The sequence below is a fragment of the Homo sapiens genome, chromosome 19 (assembly GCF_000001405.40).
Source record: "Homo sapiens chromosome 19, GRCh38.p14 Primary Assembly".
NCBI lineage: Eukaryota > Metazoa > Chordata > Mammalia > Primates > Hominidae > Homo > Homo sapiens.
This window is the reverse complement of record NC_000019.10, coordinates 2071036-2087778: the sequence shown is the minus strand read 5'-3', so window position 1 is coordinate 2087778 and position 16743 is coordinate 2071036. Positions and strand designations below refer to the sequence as shown.

Genomic DNA, 16743 nt, shown 5'->3' with positions numbered 1-16743 from the left:
TCTGACACTTGGTCTCTTGTCTCTTGAAACTTTGGGCTGAGTCCTCTGAAGCAGGCACCACAGGTGTCCGTGACGTCTCATCACTGTAACTGTCCCCTAGGTGACACGATCTTAGCTTTGTTTTGAGACAGGGTCTTACTTTGTCCCCCAGGCTGCAGTGCAGTGGCACAATCATAGCTCACTGCAGCCTTGATCTCCTGGGCTCAAGCAATCCTCCCACCTCAGCCTCCAAGTGGCTGGGACTATACAGGCACATCCACCATGCCTGGCTAATTTCTTAACTATTTCGTACAGAGATGGGTCTCACTATGTTGCCCAGGCTGGTCTTGAGCTCCTGGCCTCAAGCAGTCCTCCTGCCTTGGCCTCCCAAAGTGCCAGGATTACAGGCGTGAGCCACTGCAGCTGGCCAGGGCTTCTTTTAGGGGTGAGGAAAGTGTTCTGGAATTAGATAAAGGTGGTGTTTGCGCAACGCCAAACGTGCCAGGAGTCACGTAACTGTACTCCTGAACTGTAACTGAAAAGGTTAAAACGTGTGGGATGTGAGTCATATGTCAATCTAAAAACAGAAGAAAAGACTATCAGGAGAATTAGGACAGTATGCTAAGCCCTCGATAGCACCTGGCCCAGAGGGGCCTGGGCAGGCCTTGCTTCCTGCCTGTCTGCTTTCCCACGAGAGAAGTCAGAGATGCAGTAGGCACAGTGGCTCACACCTGTAATCCCTGCACTTTGGGTGGCTGAGGTGGGAAGATCGCTTGACTCCAGAAGCTCAAGACCAGCCTGGACAACATAGCAAGACCCCATCTCTACAAAAATACAAAAATTATACAGGTGTGGTGTTGTGTGCCTGTAGTCCCAGCTACTCAAGAGGCTGAGGTGGGAGGATCACTTGAGCCCGGGAGGTCAAGGCTGCAGTGAGCTGTGATTGCACTACTGCACTCCAGCCTGGGCAACAGAGCAAGACCCTGTCTCTAAAAAAAACAAAAATGTAAACCAGACAAAAGCACAAAACAGTGACAGGATGCACGCCTGGGTGATCAGGGAAGACGCAGCCATCCTCCAGCAGGAGTGAGGGTGGCCTACCAGCACCAGGAGCAGTTGTAACGTTTAAAAGTAAACCCTCAGGCCAGGCATGCTGGCTCACGCCTGTAATCCCAGCACTTTGGGAGGCCGAGGTGGGCAGATCACCTGAGGTCAGGAGTTTGAGACCAGCCTGGCCAACATGGTGGAACAGTTTCTCCTAAAAATACAAAAATTAGGCAGGCATGGTGGCGTGTGTCTGTAATCCCAGCTATACAGGAGGCTGACCAGGAGAATCGCTTGAACCCAGGAGGCAGAGGTTGCAGTGAGCCGAGATCACGCCACTGCACTCCAGCCTGGGTGACAGAGCAACACTTCACCTCAAAAAAATAAAAATAAAAAAGTAAAAATAAACACTCAGAGGCTGGGCGTTATGGTTCACGCCTGTAATCCCAGCACTTTGGGAGGCCGAGGTGGGCAGATCACTTGAGGTCAGGAGTTCGAGACCAGCCTGGCCAACATGGCGAAACCCCACCTCTACTAAAAATACAAAATTAGTCGGGCGTTGTAGCGGGCACCTGTAGTCCCTGTTACTTGGGAGGCTGAGGCAGGAGAATCGCTTGAACCTGGGAGACAGAGGTTGTAGTGAGCTGAGATCGTACCACTGCACTCCAGCCTGGGCAACAAGAGCAAAACTCCGTCTCAAAAAAATAAATAAATGAAAGTAAAAATAAATAAATACTCAGATTTTGGAAGGTGGCTCCGGGATGCTGCCTTTTTTTTTTTTTTTTTTTTTTTGAGACAGAGTCTTGCTCTGTCGCCCAGGCTGGAGTGCAGTGGCACAATCTCCGCTCACTGCAAGCTCTGCCTCCCGGGTTCAGGCCATTCTCCTGCCTCAGCCTCCCAAGTAGCTGGGACTACAGGTGCCCACCACTACGCCCGGCTATTTTTTTGTATTTTTAGTAGAGACGAGTTTCACCGAGTTAGCCAGGATGGTCTTGATCTCCTGATCTTGTGATCCGCCCACCTCGGCCTCCCAGAGTGCTGGGATTACAGGCGTGAGCCACCGCGCCCAGCGCCTTTTTTAGCAGGACAGATTCTGGGCTGGGAGCATCTTCCAGCCAAGTATGAGGGCTGGGCTGCCAGGCCGGGAGCCAGTGTTGTGCACTGACCTAGAACATATGGAACTGACTTCTCCACTCAGGGCTTGTCTCTCAGGCGCCTCCCGTGCTCTGGGGCAGCGGTCCCCGAGGCAGTGGCAGGATGTGGAAACCTCCGGAAGGAAGTGGGTGACTGTGGTCCGTGAGCTGCTACACCTCGGTGGGGGAGGGGTCATACCAGTTGGTTGCTTAGAGAAACTGTGTTGTTCAAAAAAAAAAAAAAAAAAAGTGTTGCAGCAGGGGAATTTGTCATTTCACCTTTCATTTCTCTAGAAGTTTCCAAGGGTCACTTGTGTCTCGTCCGTGGGAAGACCGGGGGAGCCCAGAAGGCCTTGGTGTGGAATTCTGAGAGCTGATTCCTGCCTTGTCTTCTCCACTGTTCCTGGAGGAATCCGAGAAGAGCAGAGCGGAGGGAGCCCCAGACACGGTAACCTGCCCCCGGCCTCAGGGGACAACGAGGGCGGGAGTCAGGGTCCCGAGGCCACCCCGGCCTTTCTTTGGAAAAGACCCCTTTCTGTGGCCAATCACCCCTCCGCCAAGGAGCCTGTGTTTGTTCCTGATAGAAAACGCTTTGCTCGGGCCGGACATGGTGGCTCACGTCTGTAATCCCAGCACTTTGGGAGGCTGAGGTGGGAGGATTGCGTGAGGCCAGGAATTGGAGAGCAGCCTAGGCAACATGGTGAAACCCCTGTCTCTAAATAAAAAAAAAACTAGGCCGGGCACGGTGGCTCACGCCTGTAATCCCAGCACTTTGGGAGGGCAAAGCGGGCAGATCACGAGGTAAAGAGTTTGAGACCAGCCTGGCCAGCATGGTGAAACGCCATCTCTACTAAAAGTACAAAAATTAGCTGGGTGTGGTGGCGGGCGCCTGTAGTCCCAGCTACTCAGGAGGCTGAGACAGGAGAATTGCTTGAACCTGGGAGGCAGAGTTTGCAGTGAGCCAAGATCATGCCACTGCACTCCAGCCTGGGCGACAGAGTAAGATCCTGTCTCAAAAAAAATAAAAAGGAAAAAAAAAACCGTCTGCTGTGACGGGAACTCTGCCAGTCCACAAGGTTCTTCAGAAGATGTTAACTTCCACTGAAAATCCTGCACCTTTTTCTTTTTGTGACGGAGTCTCACTCTGTCACCAGGGCTGGAGTGCAGTGGCGTGATCTCAGCTCACTGTAGCCTCCGCCTCCCTGGGTTCAAGCGATTCTCCTGCCTCAGCCTCCTGAGTAGCTGGGATTATAGGCACATGCCACCACACCCGGCTAGTTTTTTGTATTTTTAGTGGAGATAGGGTTTCACCATGTTGGCCAGGCTGGTCTCGAACTCCTGACCTCAAGTGATCCACCCACCTCGGCCTCCCAAAGTGCAGGGATTACAGGCATGAGCCACCTCGCCTGGCACCCCTCACCTTCTGAAAGGAGACAGACATGCCAAGAGGAAGTTTACAAGCTCCTCGGGCTGCCCTGTCTTGTTTTCTGGAACTGTCTTGGTGTGAGTCTGGTAGACAAGCTTAAAAGGATATAGACAAAGATAAGCCTCAGCCAGGCACGGTGGCTCACGCCTGTAATCCCAGCACTTTGGGAAGCTGACGTAGGAGGATCACTTGAGACCAGGAGTTCAAGACCAGCCTGGGCAATGTAGTGAGACCCTATCTCTACAAAAAGTTTTAAAAAGACAAGCGGGGGCCTGTGGGAACAGCCGCTTTCTCCCTGAGGCTCAGCCCAGGTAGGGGGTCTCCTCCCATGGCTGCAGTCAGCCCAGGGCTGCAATACCACTGCTGGAAGGCCCCGCCTGCCCAACCAGGTGGCACGGTTGGAAGCTAAGCCCCCAAATTGGCATGGGAGGCCCTGAAATCAACAAACGGCAGCACCAGGCTGTGGCAGGTTGGGTTTTGCTCTGTGCTGTGATTTCTGTTGGAGTTGGAAAGTTGGCTGTGAGTCGGCCCAGATGTGAAGCGGAAACGGGGAGGAGGGAGGTGAGTGGGCCTGGCTGGGTGGATGGGGATCTGCTCGCCTGCACGGTTTCCTCTTTGGTAAAGTGGGGCCTGCACTCGCCCCATCTAGACAGGCATGTGGGGACTGAGGTGATTGATTCCCAGCGTGGAGGAGCATCTCGCTCAGTGCCAGGCGGACCATGGCCTGGAGGTGGCCGGCATTTTCCCTTCTCCTGAGGGGATTTATTGATCTTGTGCTGCAGGTGGTGTGGCCTGAGGGCAGGTGTGGCTTGCAGAGCTCATCACTGGGGCAGGTGCAGGGCTCTGGGGTGCTGAGCTGTCACTGGCGAAGGGCCTCAGGTCCCCCCCAACAGCTCCCACCTGCTCAGCCACAGCGTGGATGCGTCCCGGGCTCCCCGGCCCCGGGGGATACCATAAGCACAGAGGTGGCCTCTTTGAATCAGGGGCTTCCCAGGGAGGGTCTGAGGCTGGGCTGCGGGATTACTCCTTCCTTGGGAAGCAGGCAGGGGTGGCCAGGCACAGTGGCTCACGCCAGTGATCTCAGCCCCTTGAGAGGCTAAGGCGGATGGATCGCTTGAGTCCAGGAGTTCAAGACCAGCCTAGGCAACATAGTGAGCTCCCGTCTCTACAAAAAATACAACAACAACAACAAAAAATTAACTGGTGGTGAAAAAATTATAAAAAATTATGGCAGTGAGTGCCCGTGGTCCCAGCTACTCAGGAGGCTGAGGCAGGAGGATCCCTTGAGCTAGGAGGTCGAGGCTGAAGTGTGAGCCATGATCCTGCCACTGCACTCTAGCCTGAGCAGCAGAGCGAGAACCTGTCTCTAAAAATGGAAGAGAAGCAAGCGGGGGGACCTGTGTGGTGACCCTGGGGTTGTGCCCCGCCGAGCAAAACCAAGATGGGTCAGCAGTCCCTGGACTTGGAGCATCCACGTGGCTCTGCTAGGCAGTGGAGGGGCCCCGTGGTGGAGCAGCGCTGGCCCGGGAAGCGTGTGTCACTAGGCTTGTGATCAGACGGCTGCCTGCATCCCTGAGAGTTGCTGAATTTAGGGAGTTGTGGGGCAGAAAGAGCGGTGGCTTCACCCACAGAGTCCAGGGTTCGAGACCCGGCCGATCCACCCACAGAGTCCAGGGTTCGAGCCCCAGCCGATCCACCCACTAGCTCTGTGGCGTGAGACACTGCTGTAGAATCAGTCATAATCATCTGAGCCACGATCTCACCCAGGGCGATCTAATCTTAACCCAAAGGGACACTGGGTGATGTCTGGGCACATCTGTGGTTGTCATAACTTGGGGGAGCTCCTGGCAGGGAGGGGCGGCGGCCAGGGATGCCGCTCAGCACCTTGCAGTGCCCCTGACGGCCCCACCCCAGAGAACGATCCAACCCCGATGTCCACAGAGCCAGGGGTTAGAGGCCTGGTTTTCTGGGCCCTGGTTTTCTCATCTGTAAAGTGGAGACAGGGTTTTTGTCCCAGGCAGATGAAAAGTTCAAGTTCCTAGTTGGGTGTTAACCCTGGTGGCAGGAAGTGACGATGGTGGCTAAGGGCCCCAGGATGGGCTGGGGAAGTTCAGGCCTTTCTGGTCACTGCAGCGTGGGTGGGACTCAAGTCCTCCTGCCACCTGTGCCCAGGCTGCCCTGAGCAGTGTCCCCCAGCCGGTCCTCACCAGGGGCTCCCTTGTGACAAACCATTGACCCTGGACCTTCTTATGGTGCAGACTCTGTCGTCACTGCGTTCACAGTGGGCACCGTGTTGTGTTGTGTTGTGTTTTTGAGACAGAGTCTTGCTCTCTCACCCAGGCTGGAGTACAGAGGCCCGACCTTGGCTCACTGCAACCTCTGCCTCCCAGGTTCAAGCGATTCTCCTGCCTCAGCCTCCCAAGTAGCCGGAATTTCAGGCATGCACCATCACGCCTGGCTAATTTTTGTATTTTTAGTAGAGACAGGGTTTCATCATGTTGGTCAGGCTGGTCTTGAACTCCTGACCTCGTGATCCGCCCGCCTCAGCCTCTCAAAGTGCTGGGATTACAGGCGTGGGCCACCGCGCCAGGCCTGTTTTGTTTTGTTTTGAAGCAGAATCTCGCTCTGTCGCCCAGGCTGGAGTGCAATGGTGTGATCTCGGCTCACTGCAACCTTTGTCCCCCGGGTTCAAGCGATTCTCCTGCCTCAGCCTCCCGAGTAGCTGGGATTACAGGCGCCCGCCACCATGTCTGGCTAATTTTTGTATTTTTAGTAGAGATGGGGTTTCACCATGTTGGCCAGGCTGATCTCGAATTCCCGACCTCAGGTGATCCACCCGCCTCGGCCTCCCAAAGTGCCGGGATTACAGGCGTGAGCCACCACGCCCGGCCTCTAACTTGCTTTTTTTCCAAACAATGCAGCATCTCTTCCCCCCGACCCCCAGGCCCTGTGAACATTTGGGTCCAGATCATTCTCTGGTGGGGGCCGTTCTGTTGACTGTTGGGGGGTACCCTAACCCTAAGCCCTGGGGCCTCCAGAAGGATCCAGCTCTGCTCACACCTTATTTTTTATTTTTTGAGACAGGGTCTTACTCTGTTGCCCAGGCTGGGGTTCGAGGCTCACTGCAGCCTCGAACTCCCGGGCTCAAACAGTCCTCCCACCTCAGTTCTGGGATTACAGGCATGCGCCACTACACCCAGCTAATTTTTAAATTTTTTTGTAGAGACGAGGTCTTGCCATGTTGCTCAGGCTGACCTCAAACTCCTGGACGCAAGCCATCTACCTACCTCACCCTCTCAAAGTACTTACAGGTGTGAACCACTGCACCCGGCCTGTCCACACCTTAAATTTAGCCCTGCAGGATCCATTCCCAACAGCTGAGAGCTTCCCCGTGCTAGATTGGTGTTGTTTTCAGCCTGAAATTTGTGGTGATTTGTGATGGCAGCCCCAAACACTCGCCCAGTCATGTATCGTGAGGGATGAGACACAAGACAGGACTTCGTCACAAGCAACAGCAACACAGCCGGGCGCGGTGGTGCTCGCTTGCAATCCCAGCACTTTGGAGGCCAAGGTGGGCGGATCAGATGAGGTCAGGAATTCGAGACCAGCCTGGCCAGCATGGTAAAACCCGTCTCTACTAAAAATACAAAAATTAGCTGGGTGTGGTTGCACGTGCCTGTAGTGCCAGCTACTCGGGAGGCTGAGGCAGGAGAATCGCGTGAACCCGGGAGGTGGAGGCTGCAGTGAGCTGAGATCGCGCTACTGCACTCCAGCCTGGGTGACAGAGCGAGACTCTGCCTCAAAAAAAAAAAGAGGTGGGGGTTGGAATGTACTAGAACGTGATGAATGTGTGTTTATTACTTGTGAGCGTTGCGTGGAGCCCAGGAGGCCTGGGCATGTGTGGGCCTCACTCCCTCTCCCCTCTCTGACTCCCCCTTCTGCTGGGTCCTCTTCATGCTGTGGTGAGGACCCCCGCCCTGCCCAGCACCCTGCGTGGGCCTTGCCCCAAGTGTCACAGTCAAGTCTCTGCCCGTCCAGAAGGTGCACCCAGCAGAGCAGGGTGGGGTCTGCATCCACTCTGGGCCTGCCACGGTGCCGGCGTCCTGGCAGTGACAATAACGGTGTTGGCGGTGACAGGCCCTGCGTGGTGAGCGTGAGCCCGGCACACGCGCGGTGTGTGATCCAGGTCGCCCCTCCGCCCTGTGCGGGATGGACTCTGTCTCTGTCCCCTGAGAATTCTCAGGGGAGTAGGAGGACGCCGGGTCCCCACCCCAGAGCAACCCGTGGGTGTCTCACAAGTCACCGCTCAGGCGTGCATGAGACTTGGGCCGGCTCCTGGAGGCTTCCTCATTTATACGGTGCCTTGGGGTGGACAGCTGCCCCTGGAATCACCCGGCATCTCGCCATGTGACCCGACCTGGAAGGGGGTCTTTGTGGATGAAATCAAGGGAAGAGGGGTCACCCAATCGTGGGGTCCCTGACCCAGTGACCAGTGACTTGGGCACAGCAACATGGGGAGAATGCTGACACGATAGGGACTCATTCTCAGTTCTGGGGCTGCACGTCTGAGACGAAGGTGTGGGCGGGGCTGGGTCCCTCTGAGGCCGAGGGGCATCTGCCAGGCTTCTCTCTGCTCCTGGCGGTGGCCAGCATCCTGGGCGACCCTTCGCTTGTGGAAGCAGCACCCCCATCTCTGCCTGCATCCTCGCACAGCCGTCTCCCCCGTATCTGCCTCACTCCTGAGGATGTTTGTCACTGACTGTGGGGCCACCCAAGGAATCCAAGATGACGTCCCTTGAGACCTTCTTCCACCTAGGCTGCCATGCACAGGCTGCGGGCATTGCGGTGTGGCTTCCTTTGTGGAGGCCGTAGTCCGGCCATGCAGTCCCCTGTGACTGGCATCTCAGCCTGCCCCACACTCAAGCCCCACAGTGCTGGGTAGCAGCAAGTCTAGGTCCGGGCCAGGCATCGGCACCGGGGAAGATGCGGCCCCTGCGGGCTCTTGGGGCCCGGCTCTGCGCACCTTCTGCTGTGAATCGGTCAGGCCTCGCCACGCGCAGTTCTCTTCTGTCCACTGAGGAGGTGGCCCCCTTTGGGTGAAACTCCTTAAAGTCAAAAGTCCAGGGGATGTTTTGAACCCTGCCACTAGTGGCTCACACCTGTAAGCCCAGCACTTTGGGAGGCAGAGGTGAGAGGATCATGTGAGCCCAGGAGTTGGAGACCATCCTGGGCAACATAGTGAGACCTCGTTTCTACTAAAAATAAAGAAACTTACCCAGGTGTGGTGGTGTGTGCCTATAGTCCCAGCTATTCAGGAGGCTAAGTTGAGAGGATCGCTTGGGCCTGGGAGGCAGAGGTTGCAGTGAGCTGTGATGGCACCACTGTACTCCAGCCGGGGCAACAGAGTAAGACCCTGTCTCAAAAAACAAAACAAAATCCTGCCGCTTGTGCCCTCAGCACGAGTTTCCGGGAAATTCTGTCGCCTCCAGCAGGTCATGATTCCCCTGTGTATTTCAGGTCCGCGGGAGAGCTGTGGGGCTTGGTGAGTGTTTCGTGGCCTCTCGGGTTGGTCAGCACCCCCAGCCAGCTGGCCCAGGACCCCTCTACAGAAGTCCAGGAGAGCAGGCGTCACCAAGATGTCCAACCCCTTCCTGAAGCAAGTCTTCAACAAGGACAAGACATTCCGCCCCAAGCGCAAGTTTGAGCCAGGCACCCAGCGCTTCGAGCTGCACAAGAAGGCGCAGGCGTCGCTGAACGCCGGGCTGGACCTGCGGCTGGCCGTGCAGTTGCCCCCGGGCGAGGACCTGAACGACTGGGTGGCTGTTCACGTGGTGGACTTCTTTAACCGCGTCAACCTCATCTACGGCACCATCAGCGACGGCTGCACGGAGCAGTCCTGCCCCGTCATGTCGGGGGGCCCCAAGTATGAGTACCGCTGGCAGGATGAGCATAAGTTCCGGAAGCCCACGGCACTCTCCGCGCCCAGGTACATGGACCTGCTGATGGACTGGATCGAGGCGCAGATCAACAACGAGGACCTCTTCCCCACCAACGTTGGTGAGTCAGAGCTGGCAGGGGCTCGGGGATACAGAGCCTTCCAGAAAAGTCAGGGAGGCCGAGCACAGTGGCTCACACCCGTAATGCCAGCGCTTTGGGAGGCCGAGCCCAGGGATCGCTTGAGCCCAGGAGTTTGAGCTCAGCCTGGGCAACATAGCAAGATCCCATCTCTACAAAAAATTTTAAAAATTAGCCAGGCATGGTGGCACACGCCTTTGGTCGCAGCTACTCGGGAGGCTAAGGTGGGAGGATCGCTTGAGGCTAGGAGGTTGAGGCTGCAGTAAACTATGATCGTGCCACTGTACTCCAGCCTGGGTGACAGAGCAAGACCCTGTCTCAAAAAAAAAAAAAGGATTCCATTTCTGAGTATTCTCCTAAGTTGGGCTGCTCTTAGTAGCCCCCCTTCATCCTGAATCACTCCTGGTGACTCCTGTCTCCTCACCCCAAAGCAGAGAATGACAGGATCAGCATCAGGCCTGGAGTCCTTCGCAGAGGAGACAAGCACCCCTGCCAGTGCTGGGCCCAGTGTTCTCAGTGGTTTCAGAATCACTGCCATGGAGCCCCTGGGCCCACCAGGATCATCACCCCGTTGGCGGGACCCCCTGCCCAGCTCGATGTGTAATGCACTGCATGGCTCTCAGGGACACCCCATAAACGTGGGTTTGAGGATGATCATTAGGGCACGTCCCTCCAGAGTACAGCGTACCTTTCTTTTCTTTTCTTTTTCTTTTTTTTTTTGAGACAGTGTCTCACTCTGTCACCCAGGCTGGAGTGCAGTGGCACGATCTCGGCTCACTTCAACCTCTACCTCCCAGGTTCAAGCGATTCTTCTGCCTCAGCCTCCTGAGTAGCTGGGATTACAGGCATGAGCCACCACACCCGGCTAATATTTGTATTTTTTAGTAAAGATGGGGTTTCTCCATGTTGGCCAGGCTGGTCTCGAACTCCAGACCTCAAGTGATCTGCCTGCCTCGGCCTCCCAAAGTGCTGGGATTACAGGCGTCAGCCACCGCGCCCGATCTGCCAGCAATTTCTGTCTGGAAGCCCCTTGTCACATCCAGGAGCAAAGGGTTCTGGACATGGACTTGGCTGAGTCCGTGGACCCGTCCCACCCCTCTCCCTGCAGGCACTCCGTTTCCCAAGAACTTCCTGCAGACGGTGCGGAAGATCCTGTCGCGGCTGTTCCGCGTGTTCGTGCACGTCTACATCCACCACTTTGACCGCATCGCGCAGATGGGCTCCGAGGCCCACGTGAACACCTGCTACAAGCACTTCTACTATTTCGTCAAGGAGTTCGGCCTCATCGACACCAAGGAGCTGGAGCCACTGGTGCGCGGGCTTGGGGCTGAGGGCGTGCGGTTACGGTGGGGCTGGTGGCCCGTGGCAGAGGAACCCTTCCGGGGCCAGGACCCTGACTGCTTGCGGTCGGCCCAGCAGCTGGCGGCCCCGGCTGGAGTTGGGCCCCGGGGACCCTGCTGATGGGACAAGTGGTGAGGTAGCTGGGAGGGATCCTGCGTTCTCCCACGGAACAAATGCCGGCGACAGGTGCAGTTTCCTCCGCGCCGCCCCGCGTCCAGCTCACTCCGCCTTCACCGTCCTGAGCTCAGGTGTCCCAGAGCGCCGCTCAGTGTCCCTTATGAAAGGGATGCGAGCCGGCACAAGCAGACTCCACCCCGACTTTTTTTGTTTGTTTGTTTTTGTTTGTTTTGAGACGGAGTCTCACTCTGTCACCCAGGCTGGAGTGCAGTGGTGCGATCTCGGCTCACTGCAACCTCCGCCTCCCGAGTTCAAGTGATTCTCCTGCCTCAGCCTCCCAAGTAGCTGGGATTACAGGCACGCGCCACCACGTCCAGCTAATTTTTTGTGTTTTTAGGAGAGAGGGGGTTTCACCGTGTTAGCCAGGATTGTCTCGATGGATCTCCTGACCATGTGGTTTGCCCATCTCAGCCTCTCAAAGTGCTGGGATTACAGGCGGGAGCCACTGTGCCTGGCCTTTTTTTTTTTTTTTTTTTTTTTGGAGATGGAGTCTGCCTCCCTCACCCAGGCTGGAGTGCAGTGGCGCCATCTTGGCTTACTGCAACCCCCACCTTCCGGGTTCAAGCAGTTCTCCTGCCTCAGTCTCCTGAGTAGCTGGGATTACAGGCACGTGCCACCACACCCCGCTAATTTTTGTATTTTTAGTAGAGACCAGGTTTTGCCATGTTGGCCAGGCTGGTCTCAAACTCCTGAACTCAGGTGATCTCCCTGTCTCGGCCTCCCAAAGTGCTGGAATGACAGACAGGAGCCACCGCACCTGCCTAGATTCCACCCGACTTCTGTAGCCAGCCGGGTACCTCTGCATCTGCCCTAGCCTGTCTGCTTTCCACGTTACCAGGTTTTATCGGGAGACGAACCCAGGGACCAGATTCCTCGGTGTGGGGTCCACATCCCTGAAGCCAATGTTGCTTCTTGAAATTGGGGCCCACAATTGTGTCTCGGTGATGGGGACCAGCAGTGGAGTGGGTGCCCGTGATTCAGGGCCTGGCACTGGAACCTGCCCAGAGGCTGCATTGTTCCCCAGGCTGCTGGGCGCTGTATGGATGTGGGGATCCTGATGTGAGAGCGGGACCCCACCAGCCTCCGAGTAGCTGGGACCACAGCCAGCACGCCCGGCTGATTTTTTATTGTGTGTAGAGATGGGGTCTCACTATGATGCCCAGGCTGGTCTGAACTCATGGATGCAAGCAATCCTCCCACCTTGGCCTCCCAAAGTATTCAGATGACAGGTGGGAGCCACCACTCTCTTACAACTTTAAAAAATGGTTAAAAATGGACGGACGAGGTGGCTCCCACCAGTAATCCCAGCCCTTTGGGAGGCCAAAGAGGGAGAATCACTCGAGCTCAGAAGTTTGAGAACAGCCTGGACAACATAGTGAGACCTCATCTCTACAAAAAATGAAAAAAATGAGCCAGGCACAGTGGTGCGTGCCTGTGGTCCTAGCTACTCAGGGGGCTGAGACAGGAGAATTGCTTGTGCCTGGGAGGTTGAGGCTGCAGTAAGCCGAGATCACGCCACTGTAGTCCAGCCTGGGTGACAGCCAGTAACCTGTCTCAAAAAAAAAAAAAAAGAAAAGAAAAGATTAAGGCCCGGCGTGGTGGCTCACGCCTGTAATCCCAGCACTTTGGAATGCCAAGACGGGCAGCTCATGAGGTCAGGAGTTCAAGACCAGCCTGGCCAACATGGTGAAACCCCATCGCTACTAAAAATACAAAAAATTAGCTGGGCATGGTGGCACGCGCCTGTAATTCCAGCTACTCGGGAGGCTGAGGCAGAAGAATCACTTGAACCCAGGAGGCAGAGGTTGCAGTGAGCTGAGATCGCGCCATTGCACTCCAGCCTGGGTGACAGAGCAAGACTCTGTCTCAGGGGAAAAAAAAAAATTAGCCAGGCATGGTGGTGGGCACTTGTGATCCCAGCTACTCAGGAGGCTGAGGCAGGAGAATCGTTTGAACCCAGGAGGTGGAGGTTGCAGTGAGCCAAGATTGCGCCACAGCTCTCCAGCCTGAATGACAGAGTGAAACTCCGTCTCAAAAAAAAAAAAAGACTAAAAACATCTTCACATAACTTCCTCATTTTTGTGCATCCCCTTTCAGGCTTTGCTACTGGTAAACATTTTGCTAAATTTAAAATTAATAGTTGCATACTCAGTGGCTCTAAAGATGGTAGTGGGGTCTTCCTCTTTTTTCTTTCTTTTTCTTTTCTTTTTTCTTTTTCTTTTTTTCTGTATTCCAGAACTTTCCTTCTAGTGTCCCAGTCTGTATAAGACAGGGATCAGCAAACTGCAGCCCTCTGGCCTGGCTTCCTGTTTTTGTAAATAAAGTTTCTGGGGTTTTTTTGTTTGTTTGTTTGTTTGATCTCAGCCACTGCAACCTCCACCTCACAGGTTCAAGTGATTCCCCTCCCTCAGCCTCCTGAGTAGCTGGGACTACAGGCATGTGCCACCATACCTGGCTTATTTTTTTGTATTTTTAGTAGAGACGGGGTTTCACCATGTTAGCCAGGATGGTCTCGATCTCCTGACCTCATGATCCGCCCACCTCAGCCTCCCAAAGTTGTTTTTTTCTTTTTTGAGACAGAGTCTCGCTCTGTCACCCAGGCTGGAGTGCAGTGGCGCGATCTTGGCTCACGGTAACCTCTGTCTCCCAGGTTCAAGCGATTCTCCTCCCTCAGCCTCCTGAGTAGCTGGGATTACAGGTGCCTGCCACCATGCCAGGCTAATTTCTATATTTTTAGTAGAGACAGGATTTCACCGTGTTATCCAGGCTGGTCTTGAACTCCTGACCTCAGGTGATCTGCCTACCTCTGCCTCCCAAAGTGCTGGGATTACAGGCGTGAGCCACCAAGCCTGGCTGTAAATACAGTTTTATTGGCAGCGAGGTACACTTGTGAGGTTACCATCGTCTGAGGTGGCTTTTGAGGTACAAGACAGAGTTGAGCCATCATGACAGGGACCGTCTGGCCCACAGATCTGAAAATGCTGACTCTCTGGCCTCATGGGGTAGCCTGCTGCCCCTGGTCTCAGGTGTGCCATTGCCTGTGTGGTTTTTGTTGTTTGGGTGTTCAGGGAAGCCCCCAGCTGCCGTTTCTCTGCCTGTGCGTCTCCGTGTGTCTGCTGTTCGCATCACCCCTTTTAGGAGTGGCTGGTGGGAGCTGATGTCTTGCTTGCTCTTTACAGAAAGAAATGACCGCCCGGATGTGCCACTGAGAGCCCCGCGGGTCTCCCGGTGCCCGAACCGCCGCTGGGGCCTCGGAGACTTGGAGGAGGACGCTCTGGAACCATCATCCCGCTTCTCTCCGGCCTGAGCATCTCAGGGAGACCAGGGGCCGAGCCGCTGAGCAGGTGTTGGTCCTCAGGAGCTCCAACCCCGGACGGCAGATGCCTTCCTCAGTCTCGAGCCTCAGTCTCCCGTCTGGGACTAAAACGTGAACTCTGTAATTCTATGTGTTACTAGCAACCGGAAAAGCCCACTGTGTTTTTAAACCACTTCCACTTTCCAGGAGGCTGGATGGCTTCCAGGGTCACTCCTTGCCCTGGGTGGCTCCCAGGCTCCTGGAACTTCTGCCTCCACCTCGCTGGGGAGCCCCCAGGGCTGCTGTGGCCACAGCCCTGCCTGGGCCTGTCTCTCAAGGGCACCCAGCTTGCTCGGCCTCCTACATGTCTCCCGTTGGGGAGGCAAGAGGCTGAGGGGCTTCCGAGCCCCTGAGAGCGGACATCTCCTCCCGCAGGCCTTTACTCCGCACTCCCCACTGGCAGCCGCTGGTGTCTCTTCACACAGAGGCACAACCTGGACCCAGGCAGCCTCTTTCCTCCCTCCCCAATCTCTTCCATTTTTCTACAGATTTTTTTTTTTTTGGTCATACTAGAGACAGGGGTCTCGCTGAACTCCTGGCCTCCAGTGATCCTCCATCCTCGGCCTCCCAAAGTGCTGGAATCACAGGGGTGAGCCACCGCACCCAGCCCTCTCTCTTCCTCAATGCACTCTGCTTCTTCCGTTCTTCCGAAACATTCAGCTGACTGTATCCAGGGCTTCCTGGACTCCTGGGACCCCACGTCCTGCACCCCGGCTTCTGACTCATTTCCTAAGGGCCCCTTTGTGTATCATAAAGGGTTTGATTTTTATAGTCACATTTACAACCATCTTGAGATTTTTATTTTTTTTGAACGGAGTCTCCCACTGTCGCCCAGACTGGAGTCCAGTGGCACAATCTCGGCTCACTGCATCCTCCACCTCCTGGGTTCAAGTGATTCTCCTGCTTCAGCCTCCCAAGTAGCTGGGATTACAGGTGTGCGCCACCACGCCCAGGAAATTATTGTAGTTTTAGTAGAGACAAGATTTCACCATGTTGGCCAGGCTGGTCTCAAACTCCTGACTTCAGGTGATCCGCCTACCTTGGCCTCCAAAAGTGCTGGGATTACAGGCATGAGCTACTGCACCCGGCCTAACCAGGCTGGAGTGCAGTGGTGGGATCTCGGCTCACTGCAAGCTCCGCCTCCCAGATTCACGCCATTCTCCTGCCTCAGCCTCCCCAGCAGCTGGGACTACAGGCACCCACCGTCACACCCGGCTAATTTTTTTGTATTTTAGTAGAGACAGGGTTTCACCGTGTTAGCCAGGATGGTCTTGATCTCCTGACCTTGTGATCCACCAGCCTCAGCCTCCCAAAGTGCTGGGATTACAGGCGTGAGCCACTGTGCCCGGCCAAGAATTTTTTTATCGATAACATAGTGAGCTCTCTGCCTCTTCGGAACGATGTCCACTTTGCTTATGATCAACCCAAGCAGGACTCTTCTCTCCCTGGACGCCTCTCCCCTGGTCTGGAATCTTCCAGTTCTGCCAGAATTGGCCTTTCCCAGATGCTGCAAACTTCCAGTTGAACCCCTTTTTCTGTGTGGCCCCTGGGGCTGCGAGACCAAAATCCATGAGTTCTGTGTACCCTAGACCTTTGGAAGGTGAGAGCAGGGCCCTGAGAAAAGGCAGCCACCTCCTCTCCCTGGCTGAACCCCTGCCACCCTACTCCTCACCAGAATTGTCAGTGGCCTTTCACCACAGTGGTCCTTCCTGCCTGAGCCCTGCACTGTCCCAGACCACACAGAAGTCTGGTCACCTCTGGGCGCCTGGGATGGTCACCGAAGAGAAGCACGCTGTCCCCGTCTCTCCTGGCTTCTGCCAGAAAATCGAACAAGTGCAATTAACACACTGTTACTGCCGAAGCCTGAAACTCCCAGGACTTGTCCTTGATCCTTCCAGAAACCACCAGGTCCGGCACTTGGAGCCCCCCGGAGAGGGACCTCCCAGCCGAGCCCTCAAAGAACTCCATGAAATCAGGAACTGCTTGATGAAATGTATCTCCTTGTACCTGGAAGATGAAGCCCAAACACCCACACCTCTGTCTCCCCCAGGGCTCGGGATGTCTCCAGCAGCCCGGCCACGCAGCTTCCCAGGTGGGCTCGGGGAGGTGGGAGCAGGGACCATCTCTGTCCCCTCCACCCTCACTCCATCCACCTCGGAGACCACCCTCCCCCAGCCAGATACGGAATAAAACTACAGACGCAGACGTCGGAA

At 55.5% G+C, this 16743-nt stretch overlaps 1 protein-coding gene across 3 annotated transcripts in view, besides 10 other annotated features; it reads left to right on the top strand.

The window, feature by feature from the left end:
• The window catches only part of MOB3A (MOB kinase activator 3A), a 25480-nt gene extending 8737 nt beyond the window's left edge, over positions 1-16743 (top strand). For all 3 annotated transcript variants that reach the window (XM_011527683.4, NM_130807.3, XM_047438169.1), the window contains exons 2-5: positions 2451-2604; positions 9100-9639; positions 10766-10968; positions 14355-16743. In XM_011527683.4, coding sequence (XP_011525985.1) covers positions 9219-9639; positions 10766-10968; positions 14355-14384 — 654 coding nt within the window. In that variant the 5' untranslated portion in view covers positions 2451-2604; positions 9100-9218 and the 3' untranslated portion in view covers positions 14385-16743. The remainder of the gene's footprint in view (positions 1-2450; positions 2605-9099; positions 9640-10765; positions 10969-14354) is intronic.
• Positions 590-829: an enhancer, noted in NCBI's record as "active region_13650". NCBI's record gives its function as "activates an Ori minimal core promoter by ATAC-STARR-seq in GM12878 lymphoblastoid cells {active_cell/tissue: GM12878}" and the evidence as "EXISTENCE:reporter gene assay evidence [ECO:0000049][PMID:35858748]".
• Positions 1722-2447: an enhancer, noted in NCBI's record as "H3K27ac-H3K4me1 hESC enhancer chr19:2085331-2086056 (GRCh37/hg19 assembly coordinates)". NCBI's record gives its function as "activates a minimal SCP1, AML or CMV promoter by ChIP-STARR-seq in naive H9 embryonic stem cells {active_cell/tissue: H9 hESC(naive)}" and the evidence as "EXISTENCE:reporter gene assay evidence [ECO:0000049][PMID:30033119]".
• Positions 1722-2489: a biological region, named in NCBI's record as "H3K27ac-H3K4me1 hESC enhancer GRCh37_chr19:2085331-2086056".
• Positions 2390-2489: an enhancer, noted in NCBI's record as "active region_13649". NCBI's record gives its function as "activates an Ori minimal core promoter by ATAC-STARR-seq in GM12878 lymphoblastoid cells {active_cell/tissue: GM12878}" and the evidence as "EXISTENCE:reporter gene assay evidence [ECO:0000049][PMID:35858748]".
• Positions 3950-4019: an enhancer, noted in NCBI's record as "active region_13648". NCBI's record gives its function as "activates an Ori minimal core promoter by ATAC-STARR-seq in GM12878 lymphoblastoid cells {active_cell/tissue: GM12878}" and the evidence as "EXISTENCE:reporter gene assay evidence [ECO:0000049][PMID:35858748]".
• Positions 5180-5249: an enhancer, noted in NCBI's record as "active region_13647". NCBI's record gives its function as "activates an Ori minimal core promoter by ATAC-STARR-seq in GM12878 lymphoblastoid cells {active_cell/tissue: GM12878}" and the evidence as "EXISTENCE:reporter gene assay evidence [ECO:0000049][PMID:35858748]".
• Positions 5940-5989: an enhancer, noted in NCBI's record as "active region_13646". NCBI's record gives its function as "activates an Ori minimal core promoter by ATAC-STARR-seq in GM12878 lymphoblastoid cells {active_cell/tissue: GM12878}" and the evidence as "EXISTENCE:reporter gene assay evidence [ECO:0000049][PMID:35858748]".
• Positions 13415-13464: an enhancer, noted in NCBI's record as "active region_13645". NCBI's record gives its function as "activates an Ori minimal core promoter by ATAC-STARR-seq in GM12878 lymphoblastoid cells {active_cell/tissue: GM12878}" and the evidence as "EXISTENCE:reporter gene assay evidence [ECO:0000049][PMID:35858748]".
• Positions 15905-15954: an enhancer, noted in NCBI's record as "active region_13644". NCBI's record gives its function as "activates an Ori minimal core promoter by ATAC-STARR-seq in GM12878 lymphoblastoid cells {active_cell/tissue: GM12878}" and the evidence as "EXISTENCE:reporter gene assay evidence [ECO:0000049][PMID:35858748]".
• Positions 15985-16034: an enhancer, noted in NCBI's record as "active region_13643". NCBI's record gives its function as "activates an Ori minimal core promoter by ATAC-STARR-seq in GM12878 lymphoblastoid cells {active_cell/tissue: GM12878}" and the evidence as "EXISTENCE:reporter gene assay evidence [ECO:0000049][PMID:35858748]".